This window comes from Homo sapiens, chromosome 14 (genome assembly GCF_000001405.40).
Source record: "Homo sapiens chromosome 14, GRCh38.p14 Primary Assembly".
NCBI classification, from domain to species: Eukaryota; Metazoa; Chordata; class Mammalia; order Primates; family Hominidae; genus Homo; species Homo sapiens.
This window is the reverse complement of record NC_000014.9, coordinates 55,745,566-55,764,642: the sequence shown is the minus strand read 5'-3', so window position 1 is coordinate 55,764,642 and position 19,077 is coordinate 55,745,566. Positions and strand designations below refer to the sequence as shown.

Sequence of the window (19,077 nt, the reverse complement as noted above, 5' to 3'; positions counted from 1 at the left end):
GAATAATTAATCCCAGTTATTTTAATACCAATGTCTGATCTTTCCGGTGTCTGGGTCATTTCTTGATCTGTTTTTCCAGTTTACTTTTTTCTCTTGGTATAATTCATAATTTTTAATTGAATGCTGAATATTGTACATGAAAAGCTGTAGAAGCTCTACATTATATAATAGCCCCTCAGAGGAGGTGCACCCTATTCTCTGCCAAGCATTTTATGGAGGCTCATCTCCTCAGCCCAGTCAAGATCCATGGTTCCCAACGTAGAATCTAGTATGTTTCCTGTGGCTATTCCTTCTTGATGGGCCCTGAAATGAAATTTTTGTCTCTTCAAAACTGCCTTTGATTCCATTCTGTTTCATCGGCTTTCTAGTTGCGTTTTTTTTGCCTTAGTATTAATCAGATAATCAGATATTAATCAGTAAATGACTTGAAGAGAAAACTAGTGCTTCTGTTCCACTTCTTTCTAGAATCTTGGACCCTTACTCCTGGTTGCCCTGCAAATATGGACTCTAGATTTTGTCTCTGCAGTTTCATGAGATTGTTTAAAACTCAGAAGTCTGCCCTGGATCTTGGGAATCAATCCTCTGCCTGAATTCTCAGCTTCTTGTCCCAGGCCTAAACTCATAAAATGTGCCAAGGAGAAAGTAGCATGTTTTAAAAATGGCTTATGTCAATGAGCCTTTCTTTTTTCCAGAATCTGGCCCTTCAGGTTATACCAGGCGTGGTATCTTTCTGATGCTTTTAAACATACATTTATTTTGTACCTTACCCAGATTTTCTAGGTGCTCCTGGCAGAGCCAATGGTCTGCTATAGCGATAGAATTATCATAGCCAGAAACCTAATAAATGTGTATGAAATAGTCAATTTTTAGAAACAAAATAGTTTTTAATAAAAAGTATCATGTTTTCCCTCCAATAAAATAACTTCGGCAGCCGGGCTCAGTGGCTCATGCCTGTGATCCCAGCACTTTGGGAGGTCGAGGCGGGTGGATCACTTGAGGTCAGGAATTCGAGAGCAGCCTGGACAACGTGGTGAAGCCCTGTCTCTACTAAAAATACAAAAATTAGCCAGGCGTGGTGGCGGGCATGTGTAATCCTAGCTACTTGGGACGCTGAGGCAGGAGAATCACTTGAACCTGGGAAGCAGAGGTTGCAGTGAGCCAAGATTGCACCATTGCACTTCAGCCTGGGCGACAAAAGCAAGACTCCATCTCAAAAAACTAATAATAATAAAAAATAATAACTTCTGGGTGAACATAAGCTGATTGGATATAAAATAACTACGTTTTGTGTAGAGCACAGGAAAATTATTCACTGGCAGCAGAGAGTTTTCTTTCAATAGAAAGCTTCTCTGAAAAGTTATCTTTTTTCCTCTTTTGGTTTTCAGGAGGAAAATAAAAAGTATTCCACTTAGTGTATGAATGTAGTGGGGCAGGCTGGATGGTTGCTATGCAAGAAACAAGTAATAATATCAGAAAATCACATCAGTTCCACTCATATCTATTGAAACAAAACTACTGCTCCAAAACCTCTAGTGAAAATCCCCTCGTTTTCTTTGAAGAATATATGCGTAGTTGATTTTCCTGTTCTTGTTTTTAGTTAACAGCATCATTTTCTGTTTTTCTTAGAAGACAGCATTCAGTCCCCACCCTTGGGAGTAGTATCTCCACTTTCACACAAGCACTCTGTCATTTGCATTTCGCCGTTTTTCAACCTGCTGTGGTCTTTTTAAAACACATTATGGTGCAGTGCCTTTTAAAGCTGGGAAGGATATAGCCACCCCCCTCACGAATCTGCTTTTCAGGCTTCCTGAACCTGAAGGTGTTGAGTAAGAATGAAGGATGGGGTTGTCCTCAGCACAGGATAAAAGAGCAGCCTGGGGCCCCATGGGGAGGGGAGCACAGGGACCCTTTTCTTACTACTCACAACTCAGCTTCTGCTTGGAGCTTTGCTTAAGCCTTCTTCACAAGCTGTGTGAGAGGAACTGGACCTTGGGGATCTAGGCAGAAACTATTCTAAGGTGAGTGTTAGTTTTTTCATTTACTAATAATCTAATTTTACTGGTCTGTAAATATTCATTGGCTACAGGTCACGAAAGAAAACCACTCTCCCAGATGGTACGCCGACTGGATATTTGTTAAATAGTGTGGAAGCTATTCAATGATTTTCATACTGGCCCCTTAGTAGGTACCTCTCTCCCATCTCATCTGGGATAAAATTCCATAGCCTATTCCCATCCCCTTCAAGATTAAAACTCGAATGATTAAAACAGAAAATACCTATTATCCAACTTGCTCCTGTCTCAACCAAAACCAGCATTTGGAAACACTGTCTTAGAGCTGAGGAAGTGGTCAATTAGCTCAAAAAGGTTGAGTGACTTATCCAAGGTCACCCTGTAAGTTAGAGGTAGCATCCAGTCTAGCAGCATCTAACCCCTTCGGTGAAATGTTCTGCCCTCTAAACCCTACATCCACTGACTTGTCCAAAAGCAGATATAGGAGCCAGAGAAATTCAGTCATTCAGCAAGGTTGATTAAGCACCACTGCGTGCCAGACTCAGTGCCAGCAACTGGGGACACAGTGGAGAACTCAGGAGAGCTACGCTACTGACAAATAACCTGTTCAGCAGGAGACTTTCAGGGGGCACTAAGTGCTAGAAAGGAAATAAACCAGGATGATGTAATAGGGAGTGAGGGAATGGGGACTTACTATGTGGTGATGAGGGAAGGTCTCCATGGGGAGGTGGCATTTAAGCTGAGATGTAAGTGACAAGAGAGAGCCAGTCATGCAAACATCTGGAGGACAAACCATTCCAGGCAGAGGCTGTCAAGCACAGTCCTAAGGCAGGAACACAAGCCAGCATCTGGGGAGAATAGCACACAAAGAGAGAGGGACAGGGAATGATCAGATGGCAGACTGAAGTCAGTAATGCTGACTCTTGTAAGCCATTGAATGGAGTTTGTGTGTTATTCCATGTAAGAAATAGAAAAATTCAATCTCTCTTTCTACCTGCTCCCTGAATAGCATACACATGTGGTCATGGTCAGAATTTATTCCTCAGTTTTAATTAAAAGACGTTACCAAGGTACTAGAACATTGTCACCAGATAATAACTTCCATCAATGATAGAAACACATCTATTTTTCCAAGCCAAAGCAATTGATCCTCCTGGCAATATTCAAGGGCACTGACAGCACTTGCACTGGGCACTCTGATTAGTGCAGATTTAATCGGTTTGTCTGAGGGATATCAGTGCAGCTCTCTGACAGTGCCTCTGCGGACCCCCTGGCTGAGATGAATCAAGAACTGGATCAGTTCATCCCAGAGGCACTGAGCTATTATGTTATGAATAAGCTGTCTTCTGACTGGCTCAGGTCACAACGTATGTTTATTAATTTTGTTAGTGAATAAAGCTCATCTACGTTGATTGGATCCAATTGATCAGCCTGGATCCCACGACACATAACAAATGCCACGTTGCGTTGGAATATTTCTGGAACTGACACGTGGCAGGCAGAGAGATTCAAAATGAGCTCATCACCACTGGGTCTCTGACCAAAATAAATAAATAAATAAAGTCAAATTAATGCAGAACAATGGATTGGCCAAACAGCCAGCTGCTGCCTTCCTGCCCCAGCACATTGCCGTTCATCCCTGAAAAGTGTGTCCAATCGGTTATGACAAGATTCTTGAAATACCCGACTGTGTGTAAGCGCAGGAAATCTTAACTCCAGAACCTCAGCTGCCTTCCATTTGGGATAATTATATTCTGTACCTCAAGAATTTCCTCTGCTTTAGGCCTTCAGAAACATGGCCGCATGGGGTCTCCGTGCCCCCAATCTTAACACCTCACCACAGAAGGACTCACTCATGCTAGTGTTAATCAAAGAGGTTTCCACACATGTGCACACACAAACTATCAGAACTCAATTTGTTTTTCCCAGACACATGACAATTTTATACCCACCATTGGAAAGGTATGAGCTTATTAAATAAAACAATGCTCAATTGGGAAAAGGAAATGTATCATTCGGTTCACTATTGGGCATTCATAGCACAAGTTCATTGGTTTCTGCATCACAAGGGAGCTGATTATGATAGAAGTTTTGCCTGGAGTACAGCACAAATAGGGAGTTGGCCCTATTTTCCGGGCTTTTTGAGCAGGAGGTGGAGGAAGAGGAGCTGTAATGCTGTAGGAATCAGTCACCTGGAGCCAGAAGCAAATCGAGTAGATAGAGGTGGCCCAGCCAGCTGCTGTTTTAAAGACCAGAGTGGCTCGTTTAAAAATTATATATACACATAATATACATGCATATATACATATATTAGACATACATATACATACAGACACCATTATATATATGTATGTATGTATGTATTCAGCACAGAGCAGCTCCTCCCCAAGGGAACCCCACACCCCTCATCCAGCAGGTAGACTTTTTGCCTCTTCTCCTGGGCCATTTGCTCTTTCACAGCAGAGGTTTGACTACTTCCTTCAGTAGTATGAGTTTGGAGACATTGATTCTATCACCAACACAAGCATGATGGCTTTGCCATGGGTCCTAATTTGGATTTCAGAAAATATGGCACTTTTATAGCTTGGGTGCTCATTTTGGTCAAATTTTACTGGCAAAGAAAGATGAGCAGGGTGGGGAGTAGACATGTATGATTCACAGTCTCCTTCCTCCTGGCCCCACGCCAACCCCTCAACAGGTATCTTGGGGTATCACAATCAAATGCTTGACCTCTAGATTCTGGGTACCCCAGCCAGGTGACATTTAAAACACCTAAGCACTCTTTATTATCGTAATGATTCTGCATCCTATTTGTATAACAACAGGATATTATAGTGCAGTGCTTTAATCATATCCTTAGATGTTAGGAAGATCAATCTCTAGTATGGCTTCGGATTTGGAGTTTTCTTTTTTCTTTCCTTTTTTCTCTCATGCACTCTTTTTATCATCCATTTCATCTAGCTCTCCTGAAATTTTGAATGTACCCCTCAAAGCTAAGCTGAGATTAGGGAATTTGAAACAGGAGGCTTTCCCTTGTACAAGAGCAAAGAGAGAAACATGAATTTTCCTGGTCACGGCGCAAGCCTGGGGAGTCTTAGGGAATGATGTTAGGCAATAAGGAGAAATCCAGAGGGAAAACTTGTTAAAAAAAAAAAAAGAAAAGTATGCCTATATGCCAGTAATATTTATTGTAAGTGAATGCAATAAATCTGAAACAAAAAACTGGCAGTAGAAGTTCAATAAGTATGCAGACATCATGGGAAAACGAGGAGATACAGAAGGAAGAAAGGAGCCTGTGGCGTTTCGGAAGCTTCCAGTGGTAGGTATTCAAATACAGGGGCAAAGAACAGCCCTGGGGCACAGGATGACAGATACACATGATGTCAGGGTCAACACAATATTTTTCTGTAAAAGGGAAACTTACTCAGATTTTAAGAAATCAAATTGCTTTATTTTGATTGGTTAGGTAAAGTAACACTGAAATAGGTCTTACCCTATAAGAATGTCACAGACCACTCAGGGATAGAACATGCCAACTCTAGGAGGTAATTATCTGTTACAGAACATGGTTAATGATTATGTTCAGATGTTAACAATCAGCTCGGAAAAGATTACAGGAGCTTCAAAGGGGTCCCTCTAGACCACATGACTGTAATGTGGCCTGAGGAGCCTGCTCTTAATGCAAATGCTTGCTGTCATGGTGACAGGATAGCACCCCTGTGTTCACCAGCACCACACAAAAGCCCCCTATTTGGGACAATAGCTTTTAGTTCAAGATAGACTGCATAAGTAACCAAATGTGGAAAGTAATATCCCATATGATCTTATCTATCAACTGCTCTGTGAGGACCTGAAGTTCCAAAAGTGATCTAATCCTAGGAAACGTTTGGCACAGAATAAAAGAAACTGAGAAGCCCCCCAAAATTTTTACTCCCTGCAAAACAAACACACACACACACACACACACACACACACACACACACACAGAGTCTCCATTTTCTGAAATTCATCAGTTACTGCTTGCAGAATTATATTACACTTAGATTTATCATCATTGGATTCTTTGCTAATTCATTCAAAATAAAGGAGATAGCATTTAAAATATTTTGTGACGCCTTAGAGATAAATGCTCACCCTGGGTGGGTGATGATTTATGGGGATCAAGTACTAAAGAATAGGAATTTCATTTATTTTATTGCCTGTTTAACTCCTGGGGGAAGAGACAGCTGGTAAATCATTTTGGTAAGTTAGTAAATTGGGGGGCCTTTGTTTGCTGGGCCCAAGAAAAAACTCACAGGATGGAAAAGTATCCATAGGGTGCCTCCTTCACCCACCCCCTTCTGAGCAGAATTGCTTGCACAGTACATCAGGAAGAAAGCTTTTCATTCTTTCTTTTAGAAACTCCATGTTAAAAGGAAAAAAAAAAGCCTTCCGCTTTCTTCCATTGTTTAGCCCTTCTAATCTCTAAATACTTCCTATATTTAACCTAAATCTCTCCTGCTTTCCCATCTTCACAAGTTAATATTAGTCATAATTAGTTCTCTTCAACACATGTAGTTTTACCTGGATACAAGCGTAGATATTCTTAGTATTTCAGTTCAAGAATAGGATTTCCTTGGGATTTCTAGTCAGTTCCTAAAAGAACCTCAGTGAATCTCTATTTCCTCCTCTAAAATAGGAAGACACCACAAGCCCTCAAACAGTCAGTGGGGTAGACATGGACATTTCTTTGCTCTTTTATGTGAACCTTATCAAAACTTAATCATTTGCTGATATTCTAGAGATCAGCACTCATGCACAGTGACATCATTCTGGTGACTAAATAAGTAAAGATAAAAGGTTGTATTGTTTTTTCAGAACTATTTTACCCCCAAAATATTCCATAAATACCCAATGTCTCCTTGCCCTTGTTCTTTTTCTTCTGTGATATGGCCCTCAAGCTAAAACAATAAGGAGAAATGTTGCTCAGGAAAAGGGTCCAATCTCCTGCCTGTATCTCTTTTTTTTTTTTTTGAGATGGAGTCCTCGTTCTGTCGCCCAGGCTGGAGTGCAGTGGCACTATCTCAGCTCACTGCAAGCTCCGCCTCCCAGGTTCATGCCATTCTCCTGCCTCCGCCTCCCGAGTAGCTGGGACTACAGGCACCCGCCACCATGCCCGGCTAATTTTTTATATTTTTAGTAGAGACTGGGTTTCACCGTGTTAGCCAGGATGGTCTCGATCTCCTGACCTCATGATCTGCCTGCCTCGGCCTCCCAAAGTGCTGGGATTACAGGCGTGAGCCACCGCGCCCGGCCTCCTGCCTGTATCTCTTGCAGGTCAACTTGCAGGACACCTGCCAGGAGTACTTTGACCACTGATGTGTGTGTGTGTGTGTGTGTGTGTGTGTGTGTGTGTGTGTGTGTGTAATGGGTCAACATAGTAGTTTAAAATTTTTATATTATTTGCCAACATTTTGTAAGTGGAAAATTCCAATTAAAAGTCTAGATTTCAGACTTTTCTTTAAAAATGTGAAGATCCAGCCACAACTGCCCATAGAGCACAAGTGGAGATAGACAGCAACTACCCCTGTAATGGGGCCTCACTCTCCATTTTCCCTAGTCCTCACCAGTCCCTACTATGGGACACCCAGCCCCTTAACTCATGTTACCTGCTTTTTTTTTTTTTTTTTTTTTTGGCAACTATTACTTTATTCTAGCTTGAGATAGGCCTTCACACCCAGTTAGAATAAACTTTCCAAATACAAGCTTCATTTTCTTATGCTGTGAAATTTGGGGGCTGCTTATTGTCCAAAAGATGTGTCCTAGTGGGAATTAAGTAGTCAGCACTTCCCCTCCCCAAGGGCTTCTAACAAAGGGGCGGATTTCAAAGGAGTCTCCATTATGGAGAATTAGCATAAGAGGGCATTTCCTCTCTTTGACAGTCCTCTTTGACCCTCTGTCTACCCACAGACTGTCCTTTTCTGTGGCTGAGAATCCTTATCTCAGCAGCTGAGAGGGGACAAGACCCTTGTTCCAATCAAATCATCTCAGAGCGTCCCTCTAGTCCAACCCACCTCTTTTCTCCCTGGGCTTGTTGAAGGGCAGGTAGCTTCTGAATGGAGAGTGCTAGGCCTACAGGGCTCTCAGGAAACCAAAGTGTCATGATAACCCGTGTAGGAAACTGACTACATCATTAAAGAGTGTAGAGAGGAGAGGAATCCTACTGGTGACCTTCCAGAGATATCCAGCAGGCCCTGAAGAAACACTTGTTGACTGAATAGCAATAAGCCCTCATGGACAGGACACAAAGAACCAGGCAAGAGAGTTTCTGCTTCCTAATGTAAGTACTTAGCATTTATTTTCTGTTGTAGCCCAGGCATGAGACAAGCACTTCTTGTGGTTACTTTCATTTACTCCTGGAGTGGCTTAAAGATGGCAGCAATTTTTTTTTTTCCTGGGATCTGAACTAGTCCTGACAGTGGCTGCAGAAGTGATCCTGTGCAGCTCCCAAGACTTGTCTGTGCTTAGAACATTCCCTCTTGGAACCCAAGAGGTGCACATGCTCTGCTGTGAAAACATCAAGCCACAGAGAGAGGCCATGTGGAAGACAGCAAGGTGCTCCTGACAGCCAGCACCAACTGGCAGCCATGTGAGTGACAAAGGACACTGCCTTGGATGTACCGCCACCCAGCCTACAGATGACTGCAGCCACCGATGACACCACTGGAGCGGAAGACCTGCCCAACTGTTGTTGCTTTAAGCCACTAAATTTGGTGATTGGTCACCTGACAGTAGGTAATTAGAACAACTGCTTATAACTGTGTGGGGTGCAGGCTAGCATCAGCTCTATTTTACAGATGACGAGACTGAGGCACAAAGAGGCTAAGTCACCATGTTCACAGTGCCGGTAGAACCAGATTTCAAACTCACATCTGTCTATCTCCAAAGCCCATATTCGTAGCCTCCATCATACACTATCTCAAAGAGCTTGCGATTTACTGGCAGCCACAAAAAAACACGTCAGAAAACTCAAGCATATGCACAATCCTTTTTTCTGAGTCTTGGTAATCTCTCAGGAGCTGGGGAGTCAGAATTATCTCAGACTATTCTGGAAGGAAACAGAGAAAACAGCTTTGCCTGATTTAAAAAGAAAAAAAAATACGGAGGTAACACCATCTAATGCTGATCACATAAAAAGTCCCTGCTACTCTCAAGCATGGGTGGACAAACTATAGCCTGGGGGCCCAAATCCCATCCACTGCCTCTTTTTGTAAAGTCGTATTAGAACATAGCCATATCCAATATTTACATATGGTCCATAACTACTTTTCCTCTATGTGGCAGAGCTGAGTAGCTGAGGCAGAGATAGTAGGGGCCCCTGGTGCCTAAAATGAAGTTCACCAATCCCCTACTCTAAGCCAATGGCTATCAAACTTAAGCATGCATCAGAATCACCCAGAAGGAGTGTAGAACACACATTCCCGGGCCCCACTCTCAGAGTTTCTGATTCAGTAGGTCTGGAATGGGGTCCAACAATTTGTATGTCTAATAAGTTTCCAGGTATGGTAGGCAGCTCTAAAATAAGCCTCTTGCATAAGGCACGCAATCATCCGCACTCCTACATCAGCCTTCCCTGATGCAGACTGAACTTACTTACTTCTAACGCATAGAATATGGCAGAAGTAATGGAATGTCAGTTCTAAGCATATGTTCTCCAAAGACTGTAGCTTCCATCTCATGTGCTTTCTCACCCTCTCTGAACGCTTGCCCTGTGGGAAGCCATGCTATAAGACAGACATATGTAGAGGCTCATGCCATGAGAAACTGAGGCCCAACAACAACCACATGCATGAACTTGGAAGTGGATCTCCTCCCCAAACTGAGTCAAGCCTTCAGATGAGATCTCCACCCCTGCCGATAGCTTGACAGCAACCTCATGAGACATCTTGAGCCTGAGGCTCCCAGCTAAGCCATGCCCAGATTCCTGAGCCACAGAAACTGTGAGAGAAGAAATGTTTGTTGTTTAAGTCACTAAGTTTTAGAGTAACTTGTTAAGCAAGAATACGTAACACACACCAGTTGATGCTGAGGCTGCTGGTCCAAGGACCACACTTTGAAAACCTTGGCTGTAATGGAACAGCTGCTTCTTCAGTCTTCTGACTTGATGGGGCAGGGAAATACTGAGTTTTAATACTTCTGAGTTCCACAGTGTTAGTGGAACATCCTTCTAGACTCTGTCCACCAGGTCAATGGCAGAAATAAGTTGGATACCTTGTCCCCAGTCACCACAGAGCCCTCTTCTCTGCAGGTTGAATGATGGAGGTAAGGGTCCTCGCACAGCCTCCACTGCCCATAGCTGCAGGAGTGTCCAGAGATCAGAGCTCTCAATTATAAGGAAAGACATGGGCAATAGCTGCTTGAGAGCACAGCAAAGTCAGGGCCCAGAAAGCCTGGGCGGTGGAAAAAGTTTATTCCTCTGGAAGCCCTCATTATCACTTCCTTACTCCATCCTGGTAAGTAGCCTCTGGGGCCTGTCTTATGTGTCATTTATTCTCTGGATTTAGTTACCAGTGAATCCACAGGGAGGTGCCAGCCAGTTCTTAGGTGCATTCCACAAGGGCAGAGATTTTGGCCTGTTCTGTTCAATGATACCTACAAGTACCTAGACCTGAGAATGGCATATAGAAGGTGCTTAGTGAATAATTATTGAATTTAAGTATGATTTATTTATTTATGTATTTTTCACCCCGGCTGGAGTGCAGTGGCAAACTCTCAGCTTATTGCAACCTCTGCCTCACAGGCTTAAACCATTCTCCCACTTCAGCCTCCCTAGTAGCTGGGACCACAGGCACACACCACTACGCCTGGCTAGTTTTTGTATTTTTTGTAGAGATGGGGTTTGCCATGTTGCCCAGGCTGGTCTCAAACTCCCCGGTTCAAGTAATTCACCCACCTCAGCCTCCCAAAGGGCTGGGATTACAGGTGTGAGCCGCGCCCAACCAAATTTAAGCCAAATTTAAGAATTTGAGAGACAGCCCCAATTAGCTTAGCCAAGCCTCGTGCACTGTGGAGGGGGGGGCTGGCACAAGTGTGCCACCCTTGGGCCACACTACCACCAGGGTGTTCAAGGAAGAGGCCACCTCTTATCCTCTGCAAGGAGACAGGTACACAAAGATTCTGTGGGTCATCTCTGTAAAGCTTTAATTCAGAGGCCTCAGACATGGACTGTCTGGGTTCAAGAGATACCAAGGAGCTGGAAACACCAGTGGGGTTCTTTGGTGACTGGGGCCAAAGTGTCTGGTGCCAGGAAGCAGAATATACAAACTGGTATGCTTTTGTGCATATAGCAACTAGCCTGAGGCCTCATTGTACCAGCTTCAGAGAGAAATAAATCATGTTTGTTTAACAAACGCAGTGAAAGAATGCCCTGGCACAATGCCTGACACCCAGTAAGCACTTAATAAATGTTTATCGAATGAATGAAAGAGATCTTAAGCACAGCAATACATTTCTTGGCTGCAAGTGGGGGAAAGGTAAAAATCAGACTTGTGAAACCATATGCCCTCCCCTCCTCCCCATAACCCCCACCCACAGAACAGCAGAAAGGAAAGTAAAGAATCATATCTTTGGAGCAAGAGGAAGAAGCCATCTCTGCTTTGCAGCTTGGGTCAAAGCACGTCACCTCTCTGGGCTGCAGCTGTTTCATTTGTAAAAGGGAAAGTCTAGGCTTGGTGATCTCCAGGTCTCCTTCCAGCACTGAGGTCCTGTGGCTCTGTGCTTCCCCAAGGCACTGTCCCTCAAACCTAATTACATGGTTTGCCTGTAAAAGGAGCGCCTTGATCAGGGCAGAAACAATGAGGAGCAGCCATTGTCATTCAAATCCTGGAACTGAGCTTTCTCTCAAGGTACGTTTAGAACATTCCCTCTTGGAACCCAGCCGCCATGCTCTGCTGTGAAAACATCAGACACCACACTCCCCCCTGGAAGTCCTTGGACAATAGCTGTGACCACCAGTTACGACAAGAATGCTATCAAAGGGGGTTTGGCATGGACAAGTTGTGCCCTGCTTGACTTATGGGGTCCTTCTAAATATGAACGATTCTAGTTTTTCATCAACCTATATAAAGTAAAAATTATGGTATTTACGAAAACACTGAATTTATGGTATTTATGAAACTACTGGCTTGGGTGAGGAGCCCAGTTGCTCCTTTTATGAAAGGAGCAGATACTCCTCTCCAGAGCTGATGATTTAGGAGCACTGAGAAGAGGGTGCAGAGGAAAAGGTTCTGGTGAAAAGATGCCCGCCTTTTTGAGTTTTAATTTTTTATGCTCACAATGTGGGAAAACCACTCTCCAAGGGCAGTGGTAATGGGGAAAGAGCAGCAAGCTTAGTACTATGTGGAATTCCTCCATGACCTCTAGCTGCTGGGGGTGGGAGCAGCTGGTATTTAAGAAACCTGAGTTTTCCACATGAGGGGCAGAAAAAGGTGCAGAGAGAGCAGGCTTTTTTTGTGTCCCCTTCTTGTTTCTTTCCAATTGTGCAGACAGTAGAAAATGCCCTTCTGAAAAGAGCAAGAGGAAGATGTGGAAAAAGAAGTTTTTTAACTTCTTTCCAAAAAAAAAGTATTAAATTATGTTTTTGTGAAAAAGAAAAACACTTATTTTCAATGTCTGTAGTATTTGTGGCCAACATCAAGAACGTTGGTGAAAAGAGAGCAAACAAATCAAAATCCATGCCAAGGAACTGCAGGGATATTAAAAGATGTCACATTCTTCAAGATAGTTTTAGGAACAATTTATTGCAGGACTCCTCAGAGCCCTTAAGGTACAAGTGGGTATTGTGACTTTTATCCTCTGGAGTGTAGCATTTTCAGAAGACACTTTGGGAAACACACTTAGGAGTGACAACACACTTTTCTTATTAGAATCCAAATCATGGCTGGGCGCAAGGCTTACGCCTGTAATCCCAGCGCTTTGGGAGGCCGAGGGAGGTGGATCACTTGAGGTCAGGAGTTTGAGATCAGCCTGGCCAATATGGTGAAACCCCATCTCTACTAAAAATACAAAAATTAGTAGGGCGTGTGGCAGGTGCCTGTAATCCCAGCTACTTAGGAGGCTGAAGCAAGAGAATTGCTTGAACCTGGGAAGCAGAGGTTGCAGTGAGCCAAGATCACGCCATTGCACTCCGGCCTGGGCATCACATTGCAGCGAGACACTGTCTCAAAAAAAAAAAAAAAGAAGAAGAAAAAGAAAATCATGCAAATGAAAAAGAATTATCCTCTGTAGTTTCAGAAGGCAAAACAAGATCAACACATGTTTAAAAATTATTCCTTTGGGAAACAAATCAATATGCCAAAGGGACATCTGCACGCCCATGTTCACTGCAGCACTATTCACAACAGCCAAGGTGTGGAAACAAACCTAAGAGTCTCTCCACAGATGAATGGATTATTCAGTGTGGTAGAGAGACACAGTAGAATACTATTTAGCTTTAAAAAAAAAAAACAGGGAATTCTGTCATTTACAACAATATGGATGAAACTAGAGGACATTATGTTAAGTGAAATAAGCCAGGCACAGAGAGACAAATCTTGCATTATCTCACTTAAATGTGGAATCGTAAGAAGTCAGACTCATAGAAGTAGAGAGGAGAATGGTGGTTGCCAGAGGCTGGGGTGGGAGGGGGGCTGAACAGGGAAAGGGGAGACATCAGTCAATGGGTACAAAGTTTCAGACAAGCAGAATAAGTACTGGTGATCTACTGCATGTCACGGTGACTACAGTTAATAATAATGTCTTGTATATTTCAAAATAGCTAGAAGAGAGGATTTCAAATGTTCTCAACACAAAGAAATGATAAATATTTGAGGTAATGGATATGCTAGTTACTCTGATTTGATCATTCCACAATGTATTCATGTATGGAAATATTACTTTATACTCATAAATGTATACAATATTATTTGTCAATTAAAAATGAAATAAAACTAAAAATTATTTCTTTGGGAGAGTGAAATTTAAAACACAGTTTGAAGATTGAACCCTTGTGTGGACAAAAGATCTGGGCTTGATATATTGAAAGATCTGGGCTTGATATATTGATGCACTTGCTAACAATAGCAGCTATTCCCAAATAAGAAAGTCCACCTTCAGGAGGATGGAATAACTTGTCTCTGGAATAATAACAGCCACCTTGGGGACGGAATGTTTGTTATTTGCTCTGTGCTAAATATCTGTATTTATATAGATGCGGGTATAGATATATAAATATATATGTATGCATATTATTTGTATATGGACTTATGTTTATATCTGTTTTTTCTATTTAACGCTTACGGCCTTATGTAAGCAGACACTGCAATTATCCCCATTTTGTGGAGAAAAATACTAAGGCTAAAGAACATTGCACACCTTGCCCGAGACTATGCATAAATTGCTCAGCCAGGATTCAAAGGCAGGCAGGCCACCCACCGAGCCCCACTCTTCACCATGACACCACACTGCCCCCTGGAAGTCCTTGGACAATACCTGTGACCACCGGTCACAACAAGGATGCTATCAAAGGGGATTTGGCGTGGACACGGTGTGCTCTGCTTGACTTACGGGGTCCTTCTAAATATGAACAATTCTAGTTTTTCATCAACCTCTATGAAGTAAAAATTATGGTATTTATGAAAACACTGAACTTAATTTTTAAAGTATTAGTGACTGCTATGTGCCGAGCATTGTAAAGAGTGCAGTTGGTAAGAGGTAAGGGAATTTAAAATGTTGAAGGTGCTTTCTGCCTTTGAGAAGATTATGGTCCCATAAGAGATGAGAGGATACATAGGAAGCCACAAGACACCATGGGGCCTGCACAGCTGCATTTCCTAAAAGCGAGTCAGTTGCTGCAAGCACCCCAGGTCTGTGTGGGCTGCAGCCTCCCCCACAGTGTTGCTGTCTGCTTGACAAGATTTCACAAGACACCTGTGATGGGTATTGATCATTTGGGGCTGCCTGGCATCTTTACTTTCTTCCCATGTTTGTAAGAATGCTGGTGAGAGGCAGTAAACACCAGGTGCTTGTGCAATGTCAGACTCCAATTGCCAACTCCTCTTACTCAATGCCTGAGGGCTTGCTCTGGCCTGCAGAGCCCACTTTGCAGGACAAGCAGAGAATGCCAGGGATGTACACTTTACCTCCCTACCCAGCAGACCCTCAGCCAATGACTGCCAAGAGTTGATGGGTAAATAGCCTAGACCCCCCACCATGCCTCTCAGTGGGATAAACCTGAGGCACATGGCCTACCCTGTCTTTCAGAATCCCAGGCAGGATTAAGCTGGAGTTGCTCCCAGGGGAACTTGCTTGATAACAAACCCTTTATTGTTTCACTCCCTTCCCTATCTGACTTCCCCACTCCCCTACCAGTGTTTCCTTGAATTACCTCCCAAATAAGCCACTCACACTCAATTCCTTGTTTCAGGGTTGCTCCAGGGGAAACCCACGCTAAGGTACTTGATCTCCCAGATCCTGGCAACCAGGGCCTACAGCTTAAGTCCATAGGACCTAAATGCTTCTATCTGAGACTTTCACCCTGGAGCAAGTAAAGAATTAAAAAACAGTCTAGAAGTCATTCTAAGGCCACCAGCAAGGGCCTCCAGTGCCCAGTATGGTGGTAGCACTGGCATCAGCTGCAGAATTCAGTGGGCCGCCACGGGGTATAAGCTCCTCACCAGGTCATTCCTAGGCATTACTCTGACTGTAATCCACCTGATCTGTTACAATACATTTGTTTCTACTTACATTACGCAGAGTTGGATTATCTTATCTGCATCCAAGGAGTTAACAAAATCGAGACCTCCATTCTTGCATAATGGTACCTGGACTTGGTCCTCTATGGGGAATTTTAGAGCTGAAATTTTATTCTTATAGTTTTAGAGTTGAAAAGGACATTTGAGGTCACCCAGTATAGTTCCTTTCTTCATGGATGAGAAAATTGAGGCCCAAAAAGGTTAAGGGACTTATTTAAGGTCACAGAAGTAGGTAGAGGCAAGAGCCAGATTTGGGGCCATAATGGTTGATGGCAAAGCACTTCGAAGGCAAGTATGTGTGTTTGAGGCCCCACTTGCTGCTTGTGTGATTTGGGAAGTCATTTGAGTTGTCCAAGCCCTCGCTTTCTCATCAACATAAAGTTGTGAGGATCGAGTGAGACGATCTACATAAAACATTCAACAGGGCATTCATTAGGATGCTTTCGGCTCTAAATAACAGAAGACCCAACTAAAAGTATCATGAAAAATATCTATAAGGAACTTATTATCTCCCAGAATGAGAAGTTCCAAAGCTGTTGAGCAGTGTCTTTTAATGTCATTAAGGACTCAGATACTCACCATCATTCTGCTGTGCCATCTTCAACGCAGCTTCTGAATGGATACAAGATAGCAGAAGATGCTCCAAGCAGCACAACCCCATGGAGCAACAACCAGCAGGAGAGCAGGAGGGCAGATTGTCCCGAGATGCTGCTTACACCGAGGAGGAAAACCTTGGCTAGAAGCCCCTTATGTGTCATTGGCAAGGTTACATTACATCTCCATGCTAAGTCAATTCCCCACCACAGAAATCCAGGGAGCATGGTTGAATTAGACCAAGGCAATGTGCTCCTCCTAACACTGGGATACAGTCACCTTCCCGAAACACAAAACCAGGGAGAAGGAAGGTTGGCATGGAACAGCTGCTAGATAGAGAAGCAACAATGTAGACCGCAGTTGCCAGGTGCTCAGAAGGTGCTGAAGAAATGCTAAGTATTTTTATTGCAGTGGGCTTTTCTTTCTACTGTACAAATGCAACTGTGCTTTGGTTTAAGGCTGCTTGTCCTCAAAAGGTAAAATTCTCCAGGAGTATAAGTAACACTGTCTTAACAGTCATTTTTTTACTTTACTAGAGAGGGAAATTTTGTAAAAGGGAAAGGTGGCTGTGGAGCTGCGAGAATAGATGGAAGAATGAAGAAAGAAGGCAAGACAGGCAGAAACAAGGGCCTCGTGGAGCTAGAAGCCAACTTCACAGAGATCACAATTTTGCCTAGGGCCTGATCCAAGCTGGGCTTTAAAGAATAGATTTTATACTTGCACTATTCGTCATGAAATCCAAAGTCCCACTTGTACTAAGAGACTTTTAAGCAAAGGGCAAGTCAGAAAACAAATCCTGTTAGAGCCTCTTCTAATTGCTGTGTCTCTTGGTGCACATTAGAGAGGGCAGAGGCCTTGTCTAACTTGTTTTGTCTACCCCGAAGCGGCCGATCCTGAGTGCAGCAGATGCTCAGGGCGGGAAATGGCCTATCCAGACTTGCCCAGGTTCCATCACAAATGCAAATCTTGACCCTCAATGAGTATCTTTCACCTTTCAAGTTCCTCACCTGGAAAATGGGCTGTGACCTTGGTTTCCTAGTGCCGCCAAGTGAGAAATACCTCCTTCTTCAAGGAAGAATCAGATGAGGAAGAATACTGCTCTTGGTGCTCTCAGCTAAAGAGTGTCATCCAAAAGGCCCCAGGATGGCTACATGGTAGAAAGGAGAGCTTGATTGGCAATACAGTTTGCAAACTAGGAAGAGAAAGTCTCCAGTGCAGAGCAAAGGTCCTTTCTCTTCGAAGAGGGAAAGAACAGGTTGGGTTTTATGCCTCACAGGGTCTGTATCATACATATTCAGTAGGTTTGGAGGGAAAGCTTCACATATTTATGAGGGGAGCCAAACAGATGCATAATGGGTAAACATATACATAGCATACATCCCATGTTCACTTTGGAGTGGGGTTTTATCATTAACACAAGGTGGACTTTGGCTCTTTATGCTGAAAGATGAACTATAAGACATAAAGTCAGTTTGTGTGCAGCCTCTATCAGCTGGCTGAAACTGGTTTAAGGTCTGCAGTGACTTATCAGAAAAGAATGTCTGCAAGGCTGGTCCTCTGTCCAGTCAGAGTTGTAGTGGTCTGGGATGTAGACCAGGTTTAGGAGGGGTCTGACAATTTACCTGATAGTTCCTCTTGTTAGGGAGTTTTCCAAGAGCGTGGTTTTTCCTATAGCCGTAGGAATTTAGGAAGTTGGCATGCCAGTCAAGCACTGAACCCTCTACCCACAGGTAACTTTTGTTTCCTTAACCCTAGGGTCCCTCTTAGTTGATAAAGTGGCATCTCTTTTGCTCCTCAGATCACAGGGGAAGCACAGAGTCCTCTACTTCAGGTCCCTCCAGTCACAGGAACCCATATTTCAGCCTGGATGCATGGTGGCTTCACTGCAAGGACCCTGGAGGACCCTGGGACTCCACAACAGCACATCATGTGCCATCTGGGACAGGAAGGCTGCTGGGCACTACAGCCAACCCCTCCTTCTCTCAGGGGCCTCGAGACCACTTGTCCTCACAGGCCAGTGTCCACAGCTTTCTCCTCAGCTTCACCTGATGCCCGTCTCATCAGGATCTTTCGGCCTTAGTGTTTCTGCTTACAAGCAACTTCCTGGGACTTCTAACTGGAACATTCCCCAGAGATGGAATCTGACGGAGCTTGCCCTCTGGCCAGTCTGCGAATAAGGAACCCCCTTAGGTGCAGAATAGCGGAGTTTAGGCAGTGTGAGGTCATGTTGTGTTTGCCTACATGAAAGGGCCTCTGAGTACAGGCAGAGTCTCACCCTACAGGGGTGGGGAGAGGGGAAGCCAGCTCAGAGTGTATCTGGGAGAGGGCAAAAGAGAGAGACCGAGAATTTACTCAGGAGTATTTTGCCAGAAGTGGAGAGATAGTCCCCTGGCCCTCTCTAAGACAGAGATGGTCTGGGAGTGCCGAACATGGAGTGAGATCTAAGGGATAGTGTTTTGTGGTTTTGTTGTTGTTGTTGTTTTTGAGACAGTCTCACTCTGTCACCCAGGCTGGAGTGTGGTGGTGCAATCTCGGCTCACTGCAGCCTCCACCTCCCAGGTTCAAGTAATTCTCCTGCCTCAGCCTCCAGAGGAGTTGGGATTACAGGCACGCACCACCACGCCCACCTAATTTTTGTATTTTTAGTAGAGACAGGTTTTCACCATGTTGGCCAGGCTGGTCTTGAACTCCTGACCTCATGT

General features: G+C 43.8%; 3 annotated features.

Moving 5' to 3' along the window:
* Positions 10,453–11,003: an enhancer, noted in NCBI's record as "H3K27ac-H3K4me1 hESC enhancer chr14:56220358-56220908 (GRCh37/hg19 assembly coordinates)". NCBI's record gives its function as "activates a minimal SCP1, AML or CMV promoter by ChIP-STARR-seq in naive H9 embryonic stem cells {active_cell/tissue: H9 hESC(naive)}" and the evidence as "EXISTENCE:reporter gene assay evidence [ECO:0000049][PMID:30033119]".
* Positions 11,004–11,555: an enhancer, noted in NCBI's record as "H3K27ac-H3K4me1 hESC enhancer chr14:56219806-56220357 (GRCh37/hg19 assembly coordinates)". NCBI's record gives its function as "activates a minimal SCP1, AML or CMV promoter by ChIP-STARR-seq in naive H9 embryonic stem cells {active_cell/tissue: H9 hESC(naive)}" and the evidence as "EXISTENCE:reporter gene assay evidence [ECO:0000049][PMID:30033119]".
* Positions 11,557–12,172: an enhancer, noted in NCBI's record as "OCT4-NANOG hESC enhancer chr14:56219189-56219804 (GRCh37/hg19 assembly coordinates)". NCBI's record gives its function as "activates a minimal SCP1, AML or CMV promoter by ChIP-STARR-seq in naive H9 embryonic stem cells {active_cell/tissue: H9 hESC(naive)}" and the evidence as "EXISTENCE:reporter gene assay evidence [ECO:0000049][PMID:30033119]".